This window comes from Homo sapiens, chromosome 1 (assembly GCF_000001405.40).
Source record: "Homo sapiens chromosome 1, GRCh38.p14 Primary Assembly".
Lineage (NCBI taxonomy): Eukaryota > Metazoa > Chordata > Mammalia > Primates > Hominidae > Homo > Homo sapiens.
In genome coordinates, this window is record NC_000001.11 from 35,268,104 (window position 1) to 35,295,526 (window position 27,423).

The window sequence follows — 27,423 nt, forward strand, 5'->3', positions numbered from 1 at the left end:
TGGGAGCACTGGAGTAAATGGTTCCCTAAGATCCTTCTCCATTTTGATGTTCTAAGGATAAATTACTATTGAAGAAATTATTTCCAGTTGTTGGTTCAATCTTCAAAATCACCAAAAGCTTTGATTTTAAGGTGAGGTTATAGGAGTTGGCTCTTGATATTCTATGCCTTGTGCTTCAGAACAGGCAGTCGAAAGGGAGGAAAGTTGGTTTTCCTTGAGATGACTGTCTTGTTCCCTCATTGGTTTGGGATTCTTCATGTTCAGAGGTCCACTGAGAACTTCAGCTTACCATGACTTTCCCTCTTCAATGGTACCACTGTAGTCAGGTGTAAGATGGTGATGTGGAACCCTTCACTGACATTGCACCCAATTCTCCAGATTGTCTTTCCAGTAATTTCTTTCATTTCTCCTTCATCCCTGCGTCATGGTCCCTTTAAGGGAGCGGCCATAGTTGAGTGGTGGGAGCAGCTGCTGGCAGCAAAGAGACTTGCAGGATTTGGCCTACCCATGGCCACTTACCGCGCACGCTCAGGACCGGGGGCTTGGTGGGAAAGGAAGGAGGGACTTAGGGTGCGCCTGCGCATCAGGGGCGCGCGCAAGGGGCTGATTTGGTGATCCCTTTAAGAAACCGCAGGCGGAGGAATTTCTCTGAGAGAAAATAATCCTACTCACGGGGCCCCTTGGAGGCCATTAACCCCCCGAGTCCCGGCCCCCACCCCGTCCCCGGGCAGGCCCTCCCGCCCACGCGCGGACCCGTGGGATCTCAGAAGCTGCGGCCCGGCGCGCGGCATCCGCCCCCTCCCCACTCTCGGCGCAAGGCCCGGCCGGGTCCGGGGAAGCTGCCGCGAGGCGGCCGTGCCTGCAGTGTGGGCGGGGGCCGGGGGGCCGAGAGGTACCGCCGCCACCGCGCGGGGAGCCGCAGCGGTTCCGAGCGGGGCCCAACATGGCGGAGAGAGAGGTGGAGTCCGGCCCCCGAAAGAGGGTAGGTGAGGTGAGGCAGAACTCGGGCGGCGGGGGGCGGGGCGCGGCCCGGGGCCGGGAATGGGCCATACTCAGGTTCGTGGAGGGGTCGCCGAGGCCCAGTTAGGACAAGGTTGCGGGCAGGTCTGAGGCAGCCTTGGGTCCGGAGCGCGCTGGCGAGCGGTCCCTCGGCAGGTGGGACAAAGATTTGGTGCTGGGTGGGGGGGAGGGGAGGGGGCCGTTGTTTGCCTTCCTCCCCCCGACGTTCCCCAGCACTGGGGTGGGATATCTAGGCCCAGGGAGGGGAGGTGTCAGATTCTTAAGTGCATCTTTAGTGCATCTTTAGTACATCAGAGTCTGGAAGTTAACTGGGGAGAGGTCAGGTGGGGGTGGTGGTGGCGGGAATAAGTCGTGGAGGGGTCTCAGGAGAAATAACCGGAGGGTTCTTCAGTAACACCATCGCGAATTCATTTTCCTGCCTCCTTTCCCCTCCCCCCATAGCCGTTATCTAGACCAAAGTCGGGGTGGTGGTCTTACCTGTGAAGAAGTGGGATCGTTGGCATGTCCTGATTTAGGAGAAAGATTTTGGCTACTATGAATGTCATGTTCTAGCCTAGCCTCTTACTCGCAATTAGGGACTTGGAAGAATACGACAAGTTTTCTCATAACAGGGATGTACCCAATCAACCTGCAGAGGTGAAGCCAATTCTACATAGGAGTTGTTTGAATACCTTTTAAAGTTTGTCTGGAAACTTTCCTTATTTAATTCTGAGTGGTTTTTTTCAGATGGCGAACAATACTGTACTATCGATTGAGCAATATCCCTCACTTTTCTTTTACTTCCTCCCCGCTTAGCATGATAAGAAGTAAGTTTCCTTTTAGGAGTCTTCCTTTTGGGAATGGTTTCAGAAACGATCAATTAGCAAAAGGGCAAAAAATTACTACTTTATGAAGAATGCCCTTTCAGCTTAGCGTAAAATTAGTAATCTCGTAATGATGCTACAGCTGATGTTTTGAGTGCTTACTGTGTGCCTGGCACTGAGCTAAGACCTTTATGTGAAGAATTTAACTTCATAGTAACTCCTCCTAGAACCTATTTGCAGATGAGGAAATTTAGGTGTTGAGGGCTTAAGTAATTTACTTAGATCACACAGCTAGTTGCAAGGTTGAGGTAGGATTTGAATCCAGGTTTGTCCCAACTATAGTGCCTGTGTGGGATGCCACAGAGGAGTTTCTTTAATCTGTGTTTCTCTCCTTAAAAGCTTAAATTGTAAATGACCAAAGAAGTGTCAAGTATTATTTTTTCCAACAATTTATTAGGAAAATATTTTGAACTATCCGTCAATATTATAAAACTTACGGGGAGCAGTCATACACCCAACCGCCTAGATCCTACTGTTAACATTGCATTCCGGACATGCACAGCGGCTCACGCCTGTAATCCCAGCACTTTGGGAGGCCGAGGCGGCAGGATCACTTGAGGCCAGGAGTTCGAGACCAGCCTGGCCAACATGGTGAAACCCCGTCTCTACTAAAAATACAAAAAATTAACCCGGCGTGGTGGCGGGTGCCTGTAATCCCAGCTATTCGGGAGGCTGAGGCAGGGGAATCGCTTGAACCTGGGAGGCGGTGGTAGCAGGGAGGCGGTGGTAGCAGTGAGCCGAGATCGTGCTACTGCACTCTAGCCTAGGTGACAGAGGGAGGCACTGTCTCAAAACCCCCTCCAAAAAAAAAATTGCATTCCACTTGTTTTATCATATATTTACCCCTCTATCCCTCTTTCTGTTCATCAGTCGTGTTATTTTAATGCATTTCATCGTAGTGTTTTGAACAATAAATTTTTACCATTGATAAGTTTACGAAATGTTGGATTCACCTAATGCAATAATTAGTCATAGAGCAAGTTAAGCTGTATGATGGTATGTCCAAATAGTTTTGTAAGTATAAATGTTGTGTATGGAATGCATGTGTTTTGAAATTTTAAAATTTTCAAGTTGTGTTCAGTTTTGAACTAGATCCTTACTGTGCTTGGATGAAGGCATATGGCATATAGTCCACCAATGAAAATATACAGGGTAAATTACTTAAGATATGTAATGTTAATTCAGGGAGATTTCTGCATCCAGTTGCTGTGAATGTTGTCATTCACCTTCTGTACTAGGATGTTCTAGGATATTCTAGAAAACATTGATGTGTGTTGACAACAAATTCAACTAGATTTTAAATATATTCTGCCTCTTGTCGTACACTTAAAAGATGTTACTGGTCTTGTGAATCTTCTGCTAAAGGAATGCTGGAAAAAAAAAAAAAGATACCATACTGGTAGCAGTAAAAACTTTATTATTATTATTATTTTTGAGACAGAGTCTTGCTCTGTTGCCCAGGCTAGAGTGCGGTGGCGCAATCTCGGCTCGTTGCAACCTCCGCCTCCCGGGTTCAATTAATTCTCCTGCTTCAGCCTCCCAAGTAGCTGGGATTACAGGCAAGCACCACCATGCCTGGCTAATTTTTGTATTTTTAGTAAAGATGGGATTTTGCCATGTTGGCCAGGCTGATCTCGAACTCCTGACCTCTGGTGATCAGCACACCTCGGCTTCCCAAAGTGCTGGGATTACAGGTGTGAGCTACCGGGCCTGGCCCAAAAGTTAATTTTATTTTTAACAACCTATAACATACGCAGGACTTGTATAGGTTTCCCCCATTATTTTGCCAGTTTCATCACAGAGGAAAATTACATTCATTGATTTTTGGAATTAATGGTGTGGTGGCACATGCTTCTAGTCCTCGCTATTCAGAGGTTGAGGTGGGAGCATTGCTTGAGCCCAGGAGTTGGAGGTTGCAGTGAGCTATGATATTGCCACTGCTCTCCAGCCTGGGTGACAGAGGGAAACCCCCTCTCTAGAAAAAGTAAAAATAATACATAAATAATATTTTTTGATCCATAATTCATTTTGTTTTTGATATTTCATTAGAATGTTCGGTATGATTGTCTTAAATGATATAAGTACTTTTTTCCACTTTTTTTTGGTGTGTGCCAAATTACATGTGGATTCCATATGTATACTCCAAGCCGATTAATGGGGACTATGCAGTACCATGTCTTTGGAAATTGACTGCCTTGAGGGAGTTGAAACAAACTATCCACATAGACTTAGATAGTAACTTTAGGCTATTCAATCTGAAATTGCATTGATGACATGGTATTGTACTTAATGATGCTTACTGCTTTTGACCTTTGTAATCATGTCACAAAAAAGTTGCTAAGCACCTGTGCTATTTCATAAGCTACATGCTAGGCATTGTGCTTTGTTACTTAGGGTCATTTAGGATAATATATGCTGGCTCTCTTGATAAATTGTGAACTCCTTTAACATAGTATCTATTTCATTGCTTTTTGCGTCTGGACATCTTGTGACCTCTACACAGTAGGAACTCAAAAGACTTGCTGACTTATTTTTGTAAGAATAGCTTACCTAGTACAGCAGAGGCTCTATGGGTTGAGTACCAAGTTCTCTGCTTTGTAATTTTGAGGGGCTCTGTAAATCTTTCATAGCGTCCTTTACTCCCCAGAGTTCTCTCCTATGGATCCAGATTTAGGGATCTTCTGATTGTTCTGGATTATGGTTAGATGGGCAGGTGACTGCATTTTTTGTTGTTGTTTTTGAGATGGAGTCTTGCTCTGTCGCCCATGCTGGAGTGCAGTGGCGCTATCTCAGCTCACTGCAAGCTCCGCCTCCCGGGTTCACGCCATTCCTTCGCCTCAGCCTCCCGAGTAGCTGGGACTACAGGCTCCCACCACCATGCCCGGCTAATTTTTTGTTTCTGTATTTTTAGTAGAGACGGGGTTTCACCATGTTAGCCAGGATGGTCTCGATCTCCTGACCTCGTGATCCACCCGCCTCGGCCTCCCAAAGTGCTAGGATTACAGGCGTGAGCCACCACGCCCAGCCGGTGACTGCATTTTAAGACCATTGGGTTAACAACCTTAAATTCTAGGTAGGCCTGCCTGATGTCTTGTTTTTATATTTGTGGGCAGTCGGAACACTTGTATTCAGAATATGCTGGAATGCTAGTCTCTCAATTTGTGAACACGGGGGAGCTGAGTATGTGGGTGGATCAGCGCTATATTCATCTATCATCTCTAGTATAGAGAGAATTAAGTTCATATCCTAGTGCCTATACATGAAGGCGTTACAGCAAGCATCACACCCACACAAATACATACACACACACACACTTTAAAGTTGGCATATTATTTAATTTTTTTAGATGATAAAATTTTTGTTTTCTCAAATAGCTTTTAAGACTCATTAGGTAGGCTTATTATAAATGATTGAATTATTTATGCATGGCTATTATAATAACCAGTATGTTATGAAGTATGAGGTCTAACTAAATCGGGCGGCCATATTTTGTTGTAAAATCCTTGTCTTTTCAAAGTTTACATACAAAATAATAACTTTTGTAAATGTAAATATTACCCGGTCTAGTAAATTGTATTCATTTTCATACTTAAAATTCTGTGTGTATTAAATTTGAGATGTATATACCTGGTATGCTTAAAAAAGAGAGAAAGCATATGTATAAGTAGTATGCTTCCATTTTTTGTGAAAAACAAAACAAAACGACCTTTCTTGCCTCCCCACATTTGTGTCTGTATATGCTTGTACATGTATGAACTTAGAGAAAATTGTGGAGGACACAGTTTGGGATATTACCACTGATTACCTTCAGTGGGTAGGGAGGAGAAACGAAAGAGAGTATAAGGGTGCAAATTTCACAAAGTGGAAAAAGTATTCATGGTATAATGCTAAGTGAAAATGTAGACTATAAAATGTTATCTATTAATATATAAATCTGTGAAAATTGAACACACATATAGACAGTAGAAAATACGAACAAATGAAAGCATTGACTTCATGATGTGATGGGATATGGAGAAGTTTTATTTTGAATTTCTGTTATTTTAATATTTTATAATAAAATAATTGCAAAAGATTGATCCCTCTTAATTCCTTAATTAACTTTTTCTCTTTTCTGTCTTTTTGCTAAATGTATTACTTAAAAACATGGCGGTACATATCATTACAATATTTGCGGTTTATATGTATGCAATGTGAATAATTTGCTTTTAGAAAGTATTGACTCTTTGTTTAGAGACCATTTGAAGAGGCCATTCAAATACAGTGATTCTGCATTGTTTTCACACTGCTTCCCATCTTGTAACACACAGAGGGATCTGTAAATAATAATACTTGTGGCTGGGTACAGTGGTTCATGCTTGTAATCCTAGCACTTTGGGAGGCCGAGGCAGGAGGATGGCATGAGGCCAGGAGTTTGAGACCATCCTGGACAACATAGCAAGACCCCATCTCTACAATAAATTAAAAAAATTACCCGAGGTTTAGTAGCCTCGTCTACTCATGAGGCTGAGGTGGGAGGATTGCTTGGAGGATTGCTTGAGCCTAGGATTTCGAGATTGCATTGAACTATGATTGTGCCACTGCACTTTAGCCTGGGTGACAGAGCAAGAGAGACACTGTTTTTTTTTTTAAAAAAAAAAAAAAAAAAGGAGAGGCCATTCTAATACTGAGAATGATTCTGAGTTGTTTTCACACGCTGGTTCTTCCCATCTTGTAATAAGCAGAGACATCTATAAATAATGATAATACTTGGTATTATAAACCCTTAAGTGCCAGTCATTTTTCTAAGTATTTTACATGTGATGTATTTTTCAACCACAATTATTGTCCCATTTTATAAATTAGGAAATTAAGGCACAGAGAGATTTGCTGGAGATATGATGGCTAAATCAGGATCAATTATTACTTGAACTGGTCCTGTTCGATCATATAGGTTAGAACTTTTGTTTATCCAGAAATATTATGGTTAGTGTTTATATTCTCATTTGTAAAATAAAGCACATAATTCTTTATCTGGAATGTATGGATGTTAGAATAATTTGAATTACATTCAAACAAAGTTGATGTAAGTTACTTCTTAGGAATCATTAAGTTAACTTGTTCCCTAAGAAATACATTTTTGTTTGAGATCATCTTAAAATATGTATTCACAGCTCACATTTATTTTTTAGAAAATATACACTAAATATTTTGAAGCTGTGATTTACTTTAAAGATTATGTTTGTACTTTTTTTGACAATGGAAAGATTTTCTTTTTTCTTTTCTTTTTTTTTGAGACAGAGTCTTGCTCTGTCGCCTAGGCTGGAGTACAGTGGTGCCATCTCAGCTCACTACAACCTCCACCTCCTGGGTTCAAGCAATTCTCCTGCCTCAGTCCCCCGAGTAGCTAGGATTACAGGCGTGCACCACAATGCCCAGCTAATTTTTAGACAGGGTTTCACCATGTTGGCCAGGCTGGTCTTGAACTCCTGACCTCATGATCTGCCCGCCTCAGCCTCCCAAAGTGCTGGGATTACAGGCGTGAGCCACTGTGCCTTGCCAGAAAGGTTTTCTTACTAAAGAATATGTAAGTAGATAAATATAAAATTTCAGTTTCTATGGATACTTAAGAGGTATTTTTGAATTCTGTATTAGGAGAACAGCCACTATTTAAAGAAAAGTGATATTTCCCTTAAAAATTCTGATTATTTTACTATGAGCTAACTGTATGTACTTACTTTAGCAAAGGAGAAAGGCAAGTATTGTATAAATGTACTGTATTCAACCCAACAAAATTGCTAATACTTGACCATTTGACTTAAAAAAAAATGACACTTTTATGTGGCTTAGCCATTAGCAGGAGCATGGGTTTTTCAAAGTCAGTTTATGGTATAATCTCTGGAATTTAGCAATTTTGGGGTAGTAATAGTTCTTATCCAACCTTCTCATACCTATACCCACTTTCTTGTACTTAGGAAATATTTATATTGTTATTTTAATTTCATTCATATCATCTTTCTGGCCTCCTAGAAGCTTTAATTAGCTGCCTTTGACCAAAGATAGTCCTTTTTTTTGTTTTGTTTTGGTCTATCCAGCGTATAGAACCCAGCACTGTCAGTTCTTTGAGAACCCAGCACATATCAAGAATCATATGTGTTTTTCTTTCTTTACACTTCCCAATATGTCTTACAAATGTATTTTAATACTGACATGCATATTATACATTTATAAGCCAAAAATTAATCTACTATTCCTGTCTCATCTAACTACTCATTTCTGTCCCTCCCTCCCTCCCTCCTTCCCTCCCTCCCTCCCTTCTTTCTTCCCTCCTTTCCTTTCCTTCCTCCTTCCTTCCTTTTTTTCCATAGTTGAAATAATTTCAAAGAAATAACACACATCACATCATTTAATCTATAAATACTTCCGTGTGTATTTCTAACAGATAAGAATTTTTAACAAGCACAACCACAATACTGTTACGACCTAACAAAAGAGTTCCTTAATCCAGTCTGTGTTCAGACTTCTCTTATTCTTTAAGTGTCTTTTTACACTGATTTGTTTAAATCATCCAACTAAGAGTTACACATTTCATTTAGTTTATATGTTTCTTAAGTTTTTCTTAACCTTAATCACCTCCCCCCACCTTTTTTTTTCTTTTTGAAATGGAGTTTTGCCCTTGTTGCCCAGGCTGGAGTGCAGTGGCGTGATCTTGGCTCACTGCATCGTCCGTCTCCTGGGTTCAAGCGATTTTCCTGCTTCAGCCTCCCGAGTAGCTGGGATTATAGGCATGCACCACCAGCCTTGGCTTATTTTGTGTTTTTAGTAGCGACAGGGTTTTGCCATGTTGGCCAAGCTGGTCTCAAGCTCCTGATTTCAAGTGATCCACCCGCCTCCGCCTCCCAAAGTGCTGGGATTATAGGCATGAGCCACTGCACCCAGCCAATAATCCCCTTTCTTAACTCATACCCCCTGTGCTCCTTTCCCATGCTATTTATTTGTTGAAAAAAATAGGTTATTGTTCCAGGATAATTTTCCACATTTTGGATTTGGCTGATTGAATCCTTGTTATGGTATTTAACATGTTCCTTTACCCCTCATATTTCCCACAAATTAGTAGTTAAATACAGAGCAGTGGTTCTGAACTTTGGCTAAAACTTTAGAATTATCTGGAGAGCTTTTAGTTATCCTGATCCCTAGGCCACATCTCCGATAAATTAATCAGAGCCCATGAGGTAAAATGTCATCATCAATATTTTAAAAAATTTACCAAGTGATTTCAGTCTGTAGCCAAGATTGAGAGCCCTAGTTGGTAGAGCTTGATGAGTTTAGGTTCAGTTTCTTTGGCAAGAAATATTTATAAAGAGTGGTTATATAATTTATTTGCAATCAGACAATTTTGAGAATGAAAGGGGGTGCTATAATGATTACACAGAAGGAATAGTTTAAACTGGAATTGTTCTAGACAAATTAGGATTTATAGTCATTCCATTAGATGGGGCTGTGAATTCTTGTTGGATCGTTCTAGGAGGTAACTTAAGTGGTGGTTCTACTTTTAGTGATACTAAATGGATCATTTGGTTTAGGTTCTGTCAGTGGGATCCAAATGTAATTTATTTTTAACTTTTCACTTAATGATAATTCTTGCCTATATCCATTATTTCATTAGAAGAGTGATTTTTTTTGGTCATTTCTTTTGTATTTATTAACTGGAATTCTTTCATAAAGAATTCCCTCATCAATTATTTGGTTACCTTGTAATACGGTTTGTAAAGAAAAAGCAGGATAAATGCTTATTTTTTTCCCCTTTATCAGTAATTTTCAGAAAAATGAATTGATGCCCGCCCTCACAACTCCCAAAGGTGAGGTTTGGGAGGGAGTATCATTAGGAACTCATGAGTTTTACCATATGTGATACATTCTAATTTATCATAGTCATTATTTTTGGTGTTCAATTTGTTGTATCTTTGATGATTGGCGGTCTCTTAAATTAGTTTCCTAAGGCTGCCAAAAAACTGCTACATACTTGGTAGCTTAAAACATCAGAAATTATCTCACAGTTTTGGAGGCTAGAAGTCCAAAATCAAGGCTCTAGGGAAGAATCTTTGCTTGTCTCTTCTATCTTCTTGTGGCTTGGTTGGTATTCCTTGACTTGTGGCGGCAAAACTCCTGTCTTTGCCTTCATCTTCCCTTGGTCTTCTTTCTGCATCTTCTTTTCTGTCTCTTAGGGTCTACCTTATTCCTGGATGTTCTCAGCTCAAGATCCTTACCATAATTACCTCTCCAAAGATCTAGTCTGCTCACATACTGTGGTTCTGGGTGGACATAACTTTTGGGAGCCACAGTTTAATACACTACAGTTCTTTTTTTGACCCCTAAAACTTCATTTACATCCCATATGCAAAATAAATTCACCTCATCCCAACATCCTCAAAAGTCTCGACCTATTACAGCATGAACTCTGTTTTTTTTTTTTTTTTTTAGATGGAATTTCACTCTCTCGCCCAGGCTGGAGTGTAGTGGCAGAATCTTGGCTCACTGCAACCTCTGCCTCCTGGGTTCAAGCCATTTTCCTGCCTCAGTCTCCCAAGTAGCTGGGACTACAGGAGCGTGCCGCCATGCCTGGCTAATTTTTTGTATTTTTAGTGGAGACGGGGTTTCACTATGTTAGGATGGGCTCCATCTCCTGACCTCGTGATCTGCCCGCCTCGGCCTCCCAAAGTGCTGGGATTACAGGCATGAGCCACCATGCCCAGCTACAGCATGAACTCTTAAGTCCAAAATCTCCAAATATTATAACCTCAAAAAGTTTGAAATCTCATTGTCTTAAATCATCTAAATTAGGTAAGAGTATGGACTCGGCATGATTCATTTGGGATAAAATTCTCCATCTGTGGACCTGTGAAACTGGAAAACAACTTATCTGCTTCCAAAATACAATGATGAGAGGATGAGACAGCTGTTAAGATAGACATTCCCATTCAAAAGGAAGAAAATGGAAAGAATAAAGGATCTCCGGTTTCAAGCAAGTTCAAAACTCAGCAGGACAAATTTCTCTAGGTTTCAGGGCCTGAGAATAATCCTCTGTGGCTTGATCCTCTGCCCTCTGGGCCCATGGAGGCTCTGTCTGCAGCTGGTGTGGGCCTGTTTCTCCCCTACCCCCAACCCCCACTATGCTGCTCGCCTTCAGTCATTTTTACTTTTCCCTGAAGGGTTGCACATGTTTGTAGTTGAGTAACTGTATTAGCCCATTTCTTGCCTATAAAATCCCAGAAGTAAGACACTTTAAAAAATTTTGTCCCATCTCTGTTCCTTTCAGTACAGGCTGACAGCATTTTTGTTGGTATGATATTCTTTAAAACCTTGTCAGTCTCCTTACATATCAAGGGGGTCCATATCATTAGACGAGAGGATTCTTCACAGTTCCTTACTGATAACCCCATCTCCATTCCTCGTTTCTGTTGAGATGATTGATGGGATCCATGAGTCACACTGCTAGTATCTTCAGCATATGGTTGTCCAGCCACGTGGCCTGCTCTCTAGAACACACTTTTCTAACAGTGAATTTCCTAATTTCCGCATCCTTTGTATTCTGAATAATCTGAGAACCTCCCAGTTAATCGTTGTTTCCTTTTGCTTAAAGTTCCTTCTTCAATTTATCTCTTTCTTCTTGTATTTTACTATAAATATCAAGGAGGAACCAAGCTGTACCTTCAGCACTTTGCTTGGAAATCTCCTAGGCTAAATATTCAAGTTCATGGCTTCCAGATTCTCCTTTCTATCCCACAGTAGAACATAGTTCAGCCACTTTATAACATAGCTCACCTTTCTTCCAGTTCCCAGTCACATATTCTTTATTTACTTCTGAGACAGCAACAGAAGCATCCTTAACCAAAATATTGATATGAACCAAAATGTTCACAATTCTGTGTATGTATTCTCTAAGACTACAGAAGCTTTCTCTTAGTTGCTCATCACATCCTTCTAAACCCTAACCAGAATTGCCTTTGACATCAGTATTTCTACCACCATGTCTTTAAGGCAGTCTGTACTTTTCTAAAATCATGCATCTCAAAACTCTTTCAGCCCATTACCCAATTTCAAAGCCACCTTTACATTTTTTTTTCTCTCTTTCTCTTTCTTTTTGTTACTTTCTTTTCTTTCTTTGTCTCTCTCTCTCTCTTTCTTTCTTCCTTCCTCCCTTCCTCCCTTCCCCCCTTCCCTTCCCTTCCCTTCCTTTCTTCCCTTCCTTTCTCTTCCTTTCCCTTTCTCTTTCTTTCTCTCTTTCTTTCTCTCTTTCTCTCTCTCTCTCTCTCTCCCTCTCTCTCTCTTCTTTCTTTGTTTAAAAGTTTTTTAATAGAGATGGTGTTTTACCATGTTGCACAGGCTGATCTCGAACTCATGAGCTCAAGCAGTCCTCACACCTTGGCCTCCCAAAGTGTTGGGACTACAGGCATAAGCCATCATGCCTGGCCCACCTTCACATTTTTAGATATTAAAGCAGCACTCCACTTCCATGTACTAAAATCTGAATTAGTTTCCTGGGTTTGCCATAAGAAATTACCACAAACTTGGTGGTTTAAAATTAAAGAAATTTATCATCTCACAGTTCTGGAGGCTAAAAGTTTGAAATCAGGATGTTGGCAAGGCCATGCTTTCTCTGAAGCCTTTAGGGAAGAATTCTTCCTCCTCTCTTTGAGCCTCTGGTGGTCCCACGTGTTCCTTGATTTGTGGTAGATTACTCCAGTTTTTGCCTCTGTCTTTACATGGCATTATCTCTTTGTCTCTCTTGTCTTCATTTCTGTCTCTTCTAAGGACACTCTTCATTGGATTTAGGGCCTACTCTAATTCAGGATGATCTCATTTCAAGACCCTTACATTAACTACACCAGCAAAGAACTTTATTCCAAATGAAGTCATATTCTGAGGATCTGGGTGGACATATCTCTTGGGGACCACAATTTAACCCACAACATGGTCTTCAAGGTCGGCACCTCGATCCTTTTTAAAAATTGATTTTTTTATATTTAAAAAATCACAGGTCGGGTGCGATGGCTCACGCACGTAATCCCAGCACATTGAGAGGCCACTGCGGGCGGAACACGAGGTCAGGAGATCGAGACCATCCTGGCTAACACAGTGAAACCCTGTCTCTACTAAAAATACAAAAAATTAGCCAGGCGTGGTGGCACGTGCCTGTAATCCCAGCTACTCGGGAGGCTGAGGCAGGAGAATCACTTGAACCCAGGAGGCGGAGGTTGCAGTGAGCCAAGATTGTGCCACTGCACTCCAGCCTGGGTGACAGAGCGAGACTCCATCTCAAAAAAAAAAAAAAATTACCTTAAGTTTAAAAAAATGTGTTAAAATGTACATAACAAAGTGCAGTAAGCCAGGCACAGGAAGACAAAAACTGCATCTTGTCACTTAATGTGGAATCTAAAACAATAGAACTCATAGAAGCAGAGAGTAGAATTATAGTTACCAGAGCATGGGGGATGGAAGGGAGGGACAGGAAGATATTGGTCCAAGAGTAGAAAGTTGTAGTTAGGTGGTGTGAATAAGTATTTAAGGTGATGGATATGCTAATTTGCTTGATTCAGTCATTCCACACCGTATACATACGTGTGTATCAAAACACCACTGTGTACCCCCTTAATTTTGTGCAATTATAACTTCTCAAAAAGCAAATCATATAATAAATATATATATATATATATAATATAACATTTACCATTTTAACAACTTTAAGTGTATAATTCAGTGGCATTAAGTACATAAACAATATTGTGCAATCATTACCATTATTCATTTCACCCACAATAGAAACTCTACATGTTATGCAGTAACCCTGCATGGTCCCTTGCGCCAGCCTCTGGTAAACTTTAAATTACTTTCTGTGTCTATGAAGTTGCCTATTCTAGATATTTCATGTAAGTGGACTCATACAATATTTATCCTTTGGTGTCTGACATTTCACTTAGCATATTTTCAAGGTTCATCCAGTTATAGTATGTATCAGAACTTCTCATTCCTTTTTATGGCTGCAAAATATTCCATTGTGTGCATATACATTTTGTTTATCCATTCATCCATCAATAGACACCTTTTGGCTATTGTAAGTAATGTTGCTATAAACATTGGTATGTAAGTATTTGTTTGAGTCCTTGCTTTCACTTCCTTCTGGTATTGTGATGGTTTTAATGAGTGTCTTTTAAAATTCATGTTGAAATTTGATTCCCAATATGGCAGTATTAGGAGGTGGGCCCTAGTGGGAGGTGTTTGGATAGTGGGGACACTGCCCTAATGAGTTGTTACAAGCAAGGTTCTACCTTTTGTAAGTCTCTTTGCCCCCTTGCCTTTTTGCTTTTCCATGCTGTGGTGCAGCACATAGCCCTCACCAAAAGCTAAGCAGACACCAGTGCCATGCTTTTGGACTTCCCAGCCACCAGAATTGTGAGCTACATAAACCTCTTTTCTTTATAAGTTACTCAACCTCAGGTATTCTGTTACAGCAAGACTAAACAGACTAGTACAGGTATGTACCTAGAAATGGATTTGCTGGGTTATATAGGAATTCTGTTTATCCTTATTTATTTATTTATTCATTTTTTGAGACAGGGTCTCACTTTGTTGTCCAGGCTGGAGTACAGTGGTGTGATCATGGGTCAGTGCAGCCTCTACCTCCCTGGTTTAAGCTGTCCTCCCACCTCAGCCCCACAAGTAGCTGGGACTGCAGATGTGCAACACTATGCCCAGCTAATTTTAGTTTTTCTTATAGAGATGGGGTTTGGCCATGTTACCAAGGCTGGTCTTGAACTCCTGAGCTCAAGCGATGCACCTGCCTTGGCATCTCAAAGTGCTGGGATTACAGGTGTGAGCCACCATGCCCAGCCTGTGTTTATCTTTTTGAGGAACCTTTTGCACAGGGGCTATAACATTTTCCATTTGCACCAGCAATGCATGAGGATTCCAGCTTTTCTGCATCCTCACCAATACTTGTTGTTTTCTGTGTGTGTGGTTTTTTTTTTTTTTTTTTTTTTTTTTTTTTTTTTTTGAGACAGAGTGTTACTCTGTTGCCCAGGCCGGAGTGCAGTGGTGCCATCTCACCACACTGTAACCTCCACCCTTCACCTTCTGGGTTCAGGTGATTCTTCTGCCTCAGCCTCCCAAGTAGCTGGGATTACAGGTGTGTGCCATCATGCCTGGCTAATTTTTTTTTTTTTTGTACTTTTAGTAGAGATGGGGTTTCACTGTGTTGGCCAGACTAGTCTTGAACTCCTGACCTCAAGCGATCTACCTACCTCGGCCTTTCAAAGTCTTTTATTTTTGGTTAATAACTGTCCTAGTGGGTGTGAAGTGGTATCTTTTTTTTTTTTTTTTTTTTTTTTTTTTTGAGACGGAGTCTTGCTCAGTCGCCCAGGCTGGAGTGCAGTGGCGCAATCTCAGCTCACTGCAAGCTCCACCTCCTGGGTTCACGCCATTCTCCTGCCTCAGCCTCCCGAATACCTGGGACTACAGGCGCCCACCACCACACCCGGCCAATTTTTTTGTATTTTTAGTAGAGACAGGTTTCACCATGTTAGCCAGGATAGTCTTGATCTCCTGACCTCGTGAGCCACCCGCCTCGGCCTCCCAAAGTGCTGGGATTACAGGTGTGAGGCACTGCACCCGGCCTTGAAGTGGTATCTTACTGTGGCTTGGATTTGAATTTTTCCAGTGACTAATGATGCTGAACATTTTTTCATGTGTTTATTGGCCTTTTGTATATGTTCTCTGGAGAAATGTTATTTAAGTCCTTTGTGCATGTTTTTTAATTGCACAAATTTAAGTCCTTTGTGCATGTTTTTTAATTGCTTGTCTTTTTTGTTGTTGAGTTTTAGGAATTGTTTTTATATTCTAAATATTAAACTCTTATCACAAAAATAATTTACAAATATTTTTTTCCCATTCTGTAGATTGTCTTTTCACCCTCACGATAGTGGCCTTGATGCACAAAAGTTTTTTTGTTTTTTTGTTTTTTTTTTTGAGACGGAGTCTCGCTCTGTCGCCCAGGCTGGACTGCGGACTGCAGTGGCGCAATCTCGGCTCACTGCAAGCTCCGCTTCCCGGGTTCACGCCATTCTCCTGCCTCAGCCTCCCGAGTAGCTGGGACTACAGGTGCCCGCCACCGCGCCCTGCTAATTTTTTGTATTTTTAGTAGAGACGGGGTTTCACCTTGTTAGCCAGGATGGTCTCGATCTCCTGACCTCATGATCCACCTGCCTCGGCCTCCCAAAGTGCTGGGATTACAGGCGTGAGCCACCGCGCCCGGCCAAAAGTTTTAAATTTTAATGAAATCCAATTTGTGTTTTTCTTTTGTAGCTTATGCTTTTGGTATCATATTTAAGATGCTATTGCTAGATCTAAGTTCATGTAGATTTTTCCCTATGTTTTCTTCTAAGAGTTTTAGTGTTTAGGTCTTTAATTTAGGTCTTTAATCCATCTTGAGTTAATTTTTGTTTATGGTACAAAGTAAGTGTCCAGTTTCAATCTTTTGTGTATGAATATCCAGGTTTCATAGCACCTTTTGTTGAAGAGCCTGTTCTTTCCCCATTGAGTGGTCCTGGAAACCTTGTTGAAAGTCAGTTGACCATCGTATCAGTTTGGGCTGTCGTAACACAGTATCATAGTCTGGGTGGCTTAAACAACAAATTTATTTCTTACATTTCAGGAGGCTGGGAAGTCCAAGATCAAAGTGCCCACAGGTAGGTTTTATTTTCAGGCCTTTTCTCTTGGCTTGTAGGTAGCCACTACCTTGCTCTGTGCTCATGTGATTTCTTAGTGTTTGTGAGGTGAGAGAGAGTGTAAGCTTTCTGGTGTTTCTTCTTAGAAGGGCATTAATCACATCATGAGAGCTCCACTCTCACTACCTCATCTAGCTGATTACCTTTTAAAGTCCCCCTCTCCAAGTATTATTACATGGGGGGTTAAGGCTTCAACATATGAATCTGGGGAGGAGGGATACAAACATTCAGACCATAACAACGACAAATGCGAGAGTTTATTTCTAGACTTTCAGTTCTGTTCTATTTGTCTATATGCCTGTTCTTGTGTCAGTACTACACTGTTTTGATTACTGTAGCTTTGTAGTAGGTTTGAAATTAGGAAGTAGGAGTCCTCAAGTTTTTTTTTTCAAGATTGTTTTGGCTATTTGGGGTGTGTTGAAATTTCACGTGAAATTTAGGATGGTTTTTTCCTATTTCTGAAAAAAGAGTTATTAGGATTTTGACAGGGATCAAAATTGAATTTGTAAATCAAGGGTAGTTACTGTCATCTTAACAATGTTAAGTCTTCCAGTCTGTGAACATGGAATGTCTTTCCATTTATTTTGGTCTTCTTTTATTTCTTTCAGCAATGTTTTGTACAGGTCTTTTAGTGTACAAGTCTTGTGCTTCCTTGGTTAAATTTTTCTCAAGTATCAATCAGTATAATCTACCACATTAGTAGAATGAAGAAAAAAAAGAACTCACTACAGTCTGTCCTTTGTATCTATGAGTTCCACATCTGCAGATCAAAAATATTTGGAAAAAAAAATAAAAGGTAATACAAATTTATTCCTTAATCAAGGACCAGAGGAAAAAAAATACAACATTTAAAAATAGAGTATAACAACTGTTTGCATAGTATTTGCATTGTATTAGGTGTTATAAGTAATCTAGAGATGATTTAAATTGTATAGGAGGATGTGTGTAGGTTATATGCAAATACTATATATAAGGGACTTGAGCATTCAAGGATTTTGGTATCTTTGGGGGGTCCAGGGTCCAGTCCCCCACAGATACTGAGGAATGACTAAATCATCTCAGTTGATGCAGAGAAAGTATTAAAGAAAAGCTAACATCCTTTCCTTTGTAAAAGCACTTTAATAAACTAGGAAAAGAGGGGAATTTCCTCAACATGATAAAGGCTACCCATGAAAAATCATTGCTTACATCATATTCAGTGGTGAAAGACTGAGAGATTTTATCCTCAGATGAGGAACAAGATGAGGATGCCTTCTTTCACCATGTCTATTCAGTGTAGTATTAGAAGTTCTAGCCAGAAGTTAAGCAAGAAAAAGGAAATAAAAAGCATTCAAATTGGACAGGAAGAAGTAAAACTATCTCTATTTAAAGGTGACATGATCTTATACGTAGAATACCCTTAAAGTTATGCCAAAAACAAAACTGTGCAAGTTAGTAAGAAATTCAGCAAAGTTGCAGGATATGGCATCAACACACAAAAATCAGTTGTATTTATGTACACTAGAACAATCCCAAAAGGAAATTTTAAGAAAACAATTTCATTTACATTAGAGTCAAGAAGAAAAAAAAAATACTGAAACACCTGTATCCCTTTGACTTAACTCCAATAGTCCTTGAAAGATTCCTCCCCGTCCGCCAAAAAAATAGAACCAGGCTCATCTATACATACGCTACTTCAGACCTGGAATTAACTTGTTTTGCAAGACGCCTCAGTACCTTTCAGTGGAAGATGTTATCTGGAGACCACAGCCTGAACTCAGACAAGCTTTTTGAAGTTAGAATCTTTATGAGATGGTGTAAGTTGCTTATTTCCCATTCACTCCTGAGCCTGCCTGCCTCTGTCTGCCTATTTTTTTTTTTTTTTTTTTTAAGAGACAGGATCGTACTCTGTTGCCCAGGTTGGAATGCAGTGGCATGATCACGGCTCACTGAAGGCTTGACCTCCTGGGCTCAAGCAATCCTCCCACCTCACCCACCTGAGCAGCTAGGACCACAGACAATACCCTTGTGCCTGGCTATTTAAATAATTTTTTTTTTTTTTTTTTTTTTTTTTTTTTTTTTTTTTGTAGAGACAGGGTCTCCATATGTTGTCCAGGCTGGTCTTGAACTCCTGGGCTCAAGCAGTCCTCCACCTCTGCCTCCCAAAGATTATAGGTGTGAACCACCCTGCCTGGCCCTAGCTTATCTTTCTGTTTTGGCACTGAAATTCTTCTCTTTAGGAACACTGAAATGATCTAATAATCACCAAATCTAATGGATGCTTTTCAGAGATTATTTTATTTGACTTTTCTTAGATCTTTATTTGACCTTTCTTATTTCTGTTGCCCTTCCTTCCTCGACTTTTTCCTTGTTTTATGAGATGGCATTCTCATGGTTCTCCTCTTGAATTGCTCTTTTTGCGTGCTCAATAAGTGTTATTCCCTCAGCTTGTATTTTCTTGAGCAATCTCTTCTACAATAGTGGTTTTACTTAATTTTTTTTTTTTTTTTACTTAGTATTTTTTAAGAGATGGGGTCTTGCTATATTACCCAGGCTGGCCTTGAACTCCTGGCCTCAAGTGATCCTCCTTCCTTGGCCTCCCAAAGTGCTGGGATTACAGGCATCAGCCACTGGCTTATAGTAGTAGTTTTAGGATCTACCCATTAAGTACATTATGTGATTTCCATTTTACTTCTTCGCTTCTGTTTTTGTCTTTAAAACTAAAAATCTTGTGTTTTTGCTGTCATACAAATACTGCAAATTCACTATGTCTACAACTGAACTCCTACTTCCTTCTTCCCTGCCAATTACTTGCTCACACACCTAGTGCCCTCCCCTTCTCAACTTGTTATTTTTCCTATTTATTTTATTTTTATTTTTATTTTATTTTATTTTTTGGGGGACGGAGTCTTGCTCTGTCACCCAGGCTGGAATGCAGTGACGCAATCTCGGCTCACTGCAACCTCCATCTCCCGGGTTCAAGCGATTCTCCTGCCTTAGCCTCCCATGTAGCTGGGATTACAGGCATGCGCCACCATGCCTGGCTAATTTTTGTATTTTTAGTAGAGATGGGGTTTCACCATGTTGGTCAGGCTGGTCTCGAACTCCTGACCTCGCGGTCTACCAGCCTTGGCCTCCCAAAATGCTAGGATTACAGACGTGAGCCCCCACTCCCGGCCTATTTTTATTTTTATTTTAGAGACAGTCTTGCTATGTTGCCCTGGATGGAATGCAGTGGCAAGATCATAGCCCTCTGCAGCCCCAGTCTGTTATTCTTCACATATTATCTCTATTAGTTACTGGCTTCTAGTCACCCAAGTTAGAAATCTGTGAGTCATCTTTTGTTTCTTCCCTTTCCCTTACTGTTTAGTTTTAATTGCTAAGTCTTGTTAATACTACATCAGGTATGATTTTAAAAACATTTTTGATGTTCTACTGCCACCACCTTAGTTCTGGTACTCATTTTGCATGTTTTGTCTTTTGACTTTCCTTGCTTTTACAACTCTTCTTTTCGCACTCCCTTCTTTACTGTTTCCTCTACCCCATTCATTTTTACACATTGGAGACAGATTTTTCTTCTAAAATGAAAACATGTTTATCTTTGAGGTAACAAGTTGGCTCCCTTATTATTCCAGTTCTCTAAGGTGGTTATTGGTCAGAGTTTTTTCCTGTGGCGAAAGGCAGCTTGCCTTACAGCTCTGACTCCTATCAGAAATTTACTTTTTCTTTGTGGGAGAGTTTCTTTCTGAATGTCTTTGCTACTATCACGCTAGCTTTGGTAGAGGCCCTGCTCGTGACCCCACCCTCTGTGGTGACAGAATCTTTGCCTAATTCCACCCAGCACAGCTGAGACCAGGCTGTGATTATTTCAAAACAGACTTTATTAAAAACTTAGTATAATAGGGAATTGCAGAACAAATATGTATGTATTTATATATGTATTATGTGTGGCTGATCTAGGAGAAATAGGCAGCATCTACTTGCTGAGCTTTCAGTTGTCTCATGGTGAGCAGAGGGCATCTTTTCTTTGAAACTCAGAAGCAGGTTGAAATCTGGGGGAATTAACTTATTTTTTTCCTTTCTTCCAAAGACCTTATTTCATGACCTATAATTTGTGTCCTGGCTGACTAACATTGGGAATATCAGTTCACTTTAGGAGATTCAGTCTCCTTCCTGCTCAGATTTATTGTTACTCTGTCTCCAGTAGAACAAATAGACCATTAGTACAGAAGAGATTCATTCATTGAACAAATATTTAGGACATGTGTCAGATGTGGTTCCAAGTGCTGGACAAAGAATAATAAGGAAGTTAAGCTTTGTGCTAGTGGTGGGGGTAAGATAGAAAATAAAAAAGAAATAGAGAAAATAATTTTAGGTAGTGAAGAAAACAGGACAGCATAAGATAATATGATAGTGATTGCAGTAGGAAGAATAGATAATTCTCTGAGCATGTTGGTTTTTGTGTATGATCTAAAGAGTATGATCTCTTAAAAAGATTCTTTTGGCTCCTGTATATGAGATGAACTTCAGGGAGCAAGATGGGAAACAGAGGGTCAGTTAGGAAGCTATTGGTATAATTCAGGTATGAAAGTAATCATTGGAGTAGAGTGTAGATGATGAGAATTGGTTGGGATATATTTTGGAGGTACAGTCAATAGGACTTGTTGATAAATGTAGTGAAATAAAGAAGACCACTAACCCCTAGGTAGCAGGGTTAGTGCTAGATAGTTGGTGGCACCATTAATTGAGATAGGAAAACTGGGGAAAGAATACACAGTGGTCGGGATGAAGGAGGAAGCTATTATTTCCTTACTTTAGATCACTCCACTGATTTAAAAATTGGTGATTACTTAACACCTACAGTGTAGTCTGAATCAGGGGTTCTCAACGTTGGCACTGTTGGCATTATGGACCAGGTAATTCTTTGTTGTGGGGTATTGTCTTGTGCATTGTGGGATATTCAGCTGCATACTTAACCCACTATCAACTAAGATGTCAATAGCACTGCCCCACTAGTTGTGGTAACTAAAAATATCTCCAGACATTACCAGTATCTTCTGGGGAACAAAATTGCCCCTGGTTGAATACCACTGGTCCAGATACTTTTACCATATATCCTAAAGACCTTTTTAGATTGTTGTATTCTATGTATAATAGCTGCTTTTCATACCATTCACTTATATAAATTATGACAATATATCATAGTGATTGACTTGCCAGTTTTCTTTCTTTTCTTTTTTTTCTTTTCTTTTCTTTTCTTTCAGATGGAGTCTCACTCTGTCACCTAGGCTGGAGTGCGGTGGTGCGATCTCAACTCACTGCAGCCCCTGGCTTCCGGGCTCAAGTGATTCTCCCACCTCAGCCTCTGAAGTAGCTGAGATTACAGATGCGCACTACCACGCCCAGCTAATTTTTGTATTTTTAGTAGAGACAGGGTTTCTCCATGTTGGCCAGGCTGGCCTTGAACTCCTGACCTCAAGTGATCCACCCGCCTTGGCCTCCCAAAATGCTGGGATTACAGGCGTGAGCCATCTCTCCTGGACTGACTTTCCAGTTTTCTTGTCTTTTTAAAAATCATATTTTATTCAGCCATAACTACTAATTGTACTTATGCTTAGCATATTTCTTTCTAGGATATTTCTTTGCAGGTATGTGTTTTTACATGGTTAACATCACATGTACAGTTCTGTTTCCTGATCTTATTTACTTACTTAGTTTTTATTTTTTTAGAGACGGGATCCGGCTCTGTCACCCAGGCTGGGGTGCAGTGGTGCAATCATAGCTCACTGCAGCTTTGAACTCCTGAGCTCAAGGGATCCTCCTGCCTCTCCAATAGCTAGGACTAGAGGTGCATGCCACCATGCCTGGCTCATTTTTCATTTTTTGTAGAGATTGGGGTCTTGCTATGTTGCCCAGGCTGGTCTTGAACTCCTGGCCTCAAACAATCTTCCTGCCTTGGCCTTCCAAAGTGTGTTGGGATTATAGGAATGAGCCACCATGCCTGGCTGGATGAAAATATTCTAGAATTGATTGTGGTAATGATTGTACTGCTCTGAATATACTAAGCACAATTGAATTGTGCAATTTAAATTGATGAGTTATGTGGCATTTGAATTATATCTCAATAAAGCTGTTATTTTTAAAAAAGAAGCTAAACCAAATAGCATTATATGTAGTTTCTGTCTGTAGCTCTAGTTCTCTAGAAATTAAATTACTGGTTCAGGCATGTGATAAATATTTTTGAAATAAGGTTTATTACAGTATAATTTATATAGAGTAAAATTCATCCTTTCATTGTACAGTTCTGTAAGGTTTGACATATGCATATAGTGGTAAAATTAGCACTATAATCAAGATGCAGTACATTTTCATTTCTTGTTCATGGGTTTTTATATAAACATGTTTTCATTTTTCTTGGGTAAAAGGAGTAGGATTACTGGATCATATAAATACTGTATGTCTTCTTATATTGTGTTTTGAGAGTTCTTTATATATTTTGGATACACATCCTTTATTAATGTTTTGAAAATATTCCCCCCAGTTTGTGGCTTGTTTTCACTTTCTTTTTTTTTGCAGAAATAGGGTGCCGGGTCTTGCTTTGTTGCCTAGGCTGGTCTCATATTTCTGGCCTGAAGTGACCCTCCCACATCAGCTTCATTTTCTTAAGTGTTTTTCAAAGAGCAGAAATTTTTTATTTTGATGAAGTCTACTTTATCAATTTTTTTCTTTTATGGATTATGCTTTTTGTGTCATATCTAACTTCTGTGCCTTTTAGCATTTTATTTTTTTCTGTCTCCAGATGTCTTTCTACCTGCTCTTCCTTCAAGAACCAGCTTTTTCTTTCTTTTCCCTTTTGTCTCCAGACATAGCTACAGTTATTAGCAATAATAGTAGTGGTAGTGATTGTTACTTTTTTTTTTTTTTTTTTTTGAGACAGAGTTTCACTCTTGTCACCCCGGCTGGAGTGCAATGGTGCAATCTCAGCTCACTGCAACCTATGCCTCCTGAGTTCAAGCGATTCTCCTGCCTCAGTCTCCCAAGTAACTGGGATTACAGGTGCCTGCCACCGCGCCTGTCTACTTTTTGTATTTTTAGTAGATACAGGGTTTCACCATGTGTTGGCCAGGCTGGTCTTGAACTCCTGACCTCAGGTGATCTACTTGACCTCCCAAAGTGCTGGGATTACAGGCATGAGCCACCGTGCCCAGCCATGATTGTTACTATTTAGCAGGCCCTTTTTGCACCACATTCCCGCTTTGATACCATAGTGTTTTTATTTGAGTCTTGCAAGTAAAGACTATTCTAAAGTTAGTTGGGAACTGAAGCCCAAGATAGAGATTGAGGCAAGTGAATATACACACAGACATTCAGACACACAAATTTAATTTTCTAGAAATCAGCAGATAGATAGCATCAGAAGACCTAAGAGAAAGCATATCTTGGTTTAGTCTTGTGTTTTTGTTTTAGTTTTAGACACAGGGTGTTGGTATGTTGCCCAGGCTGGAACGCAGTAGCTAATCTCAGGCGCGACCCCACTACTGATCAGTATGGGAGTTTTGAACTGCTCCGTTTCTGACCTGAGCCAGTTCACTCCTCCTTAGGTAACCTGGTGGTCTCCTGCACTTGGGAGGTTACCATATTGATGTCTACCATTGTGCAGATACCCAATTGGCATAGCTAGCACACTATAGCCCAGAACTCCTGGGCTCAAGTGATCCTCCTGCCTCAGCCTCCTGAGTAGCTGGGGCTATGGGCATATGCCACGTCGTGCAGCGGTTAGTTGTTTTTTTTGAGACAGAGTCTCACTCTGTTGCCCAGCCTGGAGTGCAATGGCATGATCTCAGGCCGCTACAACCTCTGCCTCCTGGATTCAAGCAATTCTCCTGCCTCACCCTCCTGAATAGCTGGGATTACAGGCACCTGCCACCATGCCTGGCTAATTTTTTTGTATTTTTAGTAGAGACCGGGTTTCACCACGTTAGCCAGGCTGACCTCTAACTCCTAACATCAGGTGATCCACTCGCCTCGGCCTCCCAAAGTGCTGGGATTACAGGCGTGAGCCACCGCGCCCTGCGATTTAGTTGTTTTTAATTAATAATGTGCTTCAGAACCCCCAGGGGAGTTCCCCCATTTCCCCACCGCCTTCCCGCCTTTACAGTATGAAAATGCCCAGGCCCTATCTATTCTAGACCTTCTGAAGTAGAACATGAGGGAGAAGGTGAAGTATTGTAGAGTAGGTACTGCTACCATAATAGAATTGTGTCTGTGATACCATTAACATTTTTTTTTTTTTTGAGACAGGTTCCTGCTCTGTCACCCAGGCTGGAGTATGGTGGCATGATCATGACTTTCTACAGCCTCTAACCCCTAGGCTCAAGCAACCCTCCCACCTCAGCCTCCTGAGTAGCTGGGACTATAGGTACCTGCCACCATGCTCGGCTAATTTTTTTTTCTATTTGTTGTAGAGACAGGGTCTTCCTATGTTACTTAGGCTGGTCTCAAAGTCCTGGGCTCAAATGATCCTCCTGCCTCAGCCTCCCGAAGTGCTAGGACTACAGGTGTGAACCACCATACCATGCCATTAACATGGTTTTTGTTTTTGTTTTTGAGACAGAGTCTCACTCTGTCACCGAGGCTGGAGTGTAGTGGCAGGATCTTGGCTCACTGCAACCTGTGCCTCCCGGGTTCAAGTGATTCTACTGCCTCTGCCTCCTGAGTAGCTGAGATTACAGGCAATGCGCCACCACACCTGGCTAATATTTGTATTGTTAGTAGAGATGAGGGGTTTCGCCATGTTGGTCAGGCTGATGTTGAACTCCTGACCTCAGGTGATCCACCTGCCTCGGCCTCCCAAAGTACTAAGATTACAGGCGTGAGCTCCTGCGCCCGGCTGTGGGTTTTTCTTTTTTAATGGATTAAATGGAAATACAGATAGTGTCTAATTCTGTTTCAGTAGGTTTCGATAGGTTTAGCGCACATGAAATACCTAGCATATACTAGGTGGTAATTTCTCGAAGCCAAGGAGAAAGAGTAGAAGTCAAGGGTAGTGTCATGGGAGCCCTGGAGGTCGATGCTAGGAAGTGGGAATAAACATACTCTTTTTTAGCCTTCCATTCTGTGGAATACTTGAATTATTTAAGAATCAGGCCAGGCACGGTGGCTCACACCTGTAATCCCAGCACTTTGGGAGCACGAGGTCAGGAGATCGAGACCATCCTGGCTAATACAGTGAAACCCCATCTCTACTAAAAACACAAAAAATTAGCTGGGCGTGGTGGCACGCGCCTGCAGTCCCAGCTACTTGGGAGGCTGAGGCAGGAGAATCGCTTGAACCCAGGAGGCAGAGGTTGCAGTGAGCCAAGATTGCGCCACTGCACTCCAGCCTGGGTGACAGAGTGAGACACTGTCTCAAAAAAAAAAAAAAGGAATCAAAATGTTTGTTCCAATTATTCTTTCATTCAGTCTTTTCTCTTGAAATTGACTGTGGCATATCTTAATAACTTTCTTGCTGCTTTATATGATCTTTTCATAGAATGTGTGAAAACTCTGGGACTTGGAAAAAAATAGAGTGGTATATCATGTTCCTGGATGGAAAAACTCAATATTATAAAAGTATGTGTTCCATAAAATTAATTAAAATTAATATTATTACATTAAGTATCCCAGTAGGGGTTTTAAAAATTATTCTATTTGATGATAGATAGGGCAGGATAATATGTGAAAGGCAAGACAATCTTGAATTAGAAGAATTATGAAGGCAGGGGGCAGTAGGGGAATATAGAACCTTGTTCTATAGTAGGGTCTTAAATATGATACTGGTATGGGAATGCTGAATTGTTACAAATAAACAGATTCATGTCTATATAACAGTAGAGTATATAGATCATTCGTGTTTGGATGGTCTACTGGCCATTTTGGGGAAAAAGTTAGATCTTTTTCTTATTCCAAATGCCAATACATATCCTATTTGAATTCAATATATGAATATAAGAAAATGAAACTATTAAAGTACTGAAAGAAAATGTAGGTAAATATCTTGGGATGGTACGCTTTCCAAGCGTAAACAAAAAAAATTAATTCAAAAGAATGAGATTTGACTACATTGAAAACATTGTCACATTTTGAAAAAGGTAAATGTCTTTGAAATATCAGAGAACGGACTTTTCAGAACAAGGTATTGAACAGATAAAAACAATAGATAACCACTTGAGTCATTTTAGATTCCACTGTGCTTCACATCCCTAATTTCTATTCCAGTCACCATTCATGCTTTCATTCAACAAGTGTTTGAGTGCCTGTTATGCATGAGGAACCATTGTAGGTACGGAGGATACAGTAATGAATAAAATGGAGAAAATCTCTGCTCTATGGAGTTTACATTCCAGGGATGGGGTGGGAATAACTGCTAAACAAATAATTAATGTACAACATTTTAAATAAAACATTTCTATAGAGGAAGATAAAGCAGACAATAGAGATACAGTGTACTTCGGTGGAGAGGGTATTGCAATTCTGAACAGTGGCAGTTAAGCAAAGATCTGAAAGAAATGAGAAGTCATATGGGTATCTGATAGGAGGAACATTCCAGGTAGAAGGAACAGCAAGGGCAAAGATTATGAGGCAGGAGAGTGTTGTATATGTTTTGTGAACATCAAAGAGGCAGCATAGAGGCAGTAGCTGAACATGAGTGAGCAAGGTGGTGAATAACAGTAGATGAGATCAGGGGAATAACAGGTTATAGATAATGTAGGGCCTTTTAAGGTCAGATAATTTGTTGTGGGGGCTGTTCTGTACATTGTAGG

General features: G+C 40.6%; 1 protein-coding gene and 1 pseudogene across 18 annotated transcripts in view, besides 5 other annotated features; one reads left to right on the top strand and one right to left on the bottom strand.

Annotated features, from left to right (window-relative positions):
• Window positions 296-355: an enhancer, noted in NCBI's record as "active region_726". NCBI's record gives its function as "activates an Ori minimal core promoter by ATAC-STARR-seq in GM12878 lymphoblastoid cells {active_cell/tissue: GM12878}" and the evidence as "EXISTENCE:reporter gene assay evidence [ECO:0000049][PMID:35858748]".
• Window positions 376-435: an enhancer, noted in NCBI's record as "active region_727". NCBI's record gives its function as "activates an Ori minimal core promoter by ATAC-STARR-seq in GM12878 lymphoblastoid cells {active_cell/tissue: GM12878}" and the evidence as "EXISTENCE:reporter gene assay evidence [ECO:0000049][PMID:35858748]".
• Window positions 566-925: a silencer, noted in NCBI's record as "silent region_638". NCBI's record gives its function as "represses an Ori minimal core promoter by ATAC-STARR-seq in GM12878 lymphoblastoid cells {active_cell/tissue: GM12878}" and the evidence as "EXISTENCE:reporter gene assay evidence [ECO:0000049][PMID:35858748]".
• The window catches only part of ZMYM4 (zinc finger MYM-type containing 4), a 153,350-nt gene continuing 126,532 nt past the window's right edge, over window positions 606-27,423 (top strand). For 8 of the 18 annotated variants that reach the window (XR_007064889.1, NM_001350138.2, NM_001350140.2 and 5 more), the window contains exon 1: window positions 606-982. Coding sequence is in view for 3 of the 18 variants with exons in the window: in NM_005095.3 (NP_005086.2) it covers window positions 944-982 (39 nt within the window). In the remaining 15 variants the exon portion in view is untranslated. Of the gene's footprint in view, window positions 992-16,569; window positions 16,604-27,423 lie in introns of all 18 variants that reach the window. The other 10 variants (XR_007064890.1, XM_047434271.1, XM_047434278.1 and 7 more) reach the window with 2 other exon arrangements.
• Window positions 996-1,125: a silencer, noted in NCBI's record as "silent region_639". NCBI's record gives its function as "represses an Ori minimal core promoter by ATAC-STARR-seq in GM12878 lymphoblastoid cells {active_cell/tissue: GM12878}" and the evidence as "EXISTENCE:reporter gene assay evidence [ECO:0000049][PMID:35858748]".
• Window positions 4,705-5,205: an enhancer, noted in NCBI's record as "H3K4me1 hESC enhancer chr1:35738409-35738909 (GRCh37/hg19 assembly coordinates)". NCBI's record gives its function as "activates a minimal SCP1, AML or CMV promoter by ChIP-STARR-seq in naive H9 embryonic stem cells {active_cell/tissue: H9 hESC(naive)}" and the evidence as "EXISTENCE:reporter gene assay evidence [ECO:0000049][PMID:30033119]".
• Window positions 24,093-24,395, bottom strand: RN7SL503P (RNA, 7SL, cytoplasmic 503, pseudogene; annotated as a pseudogene).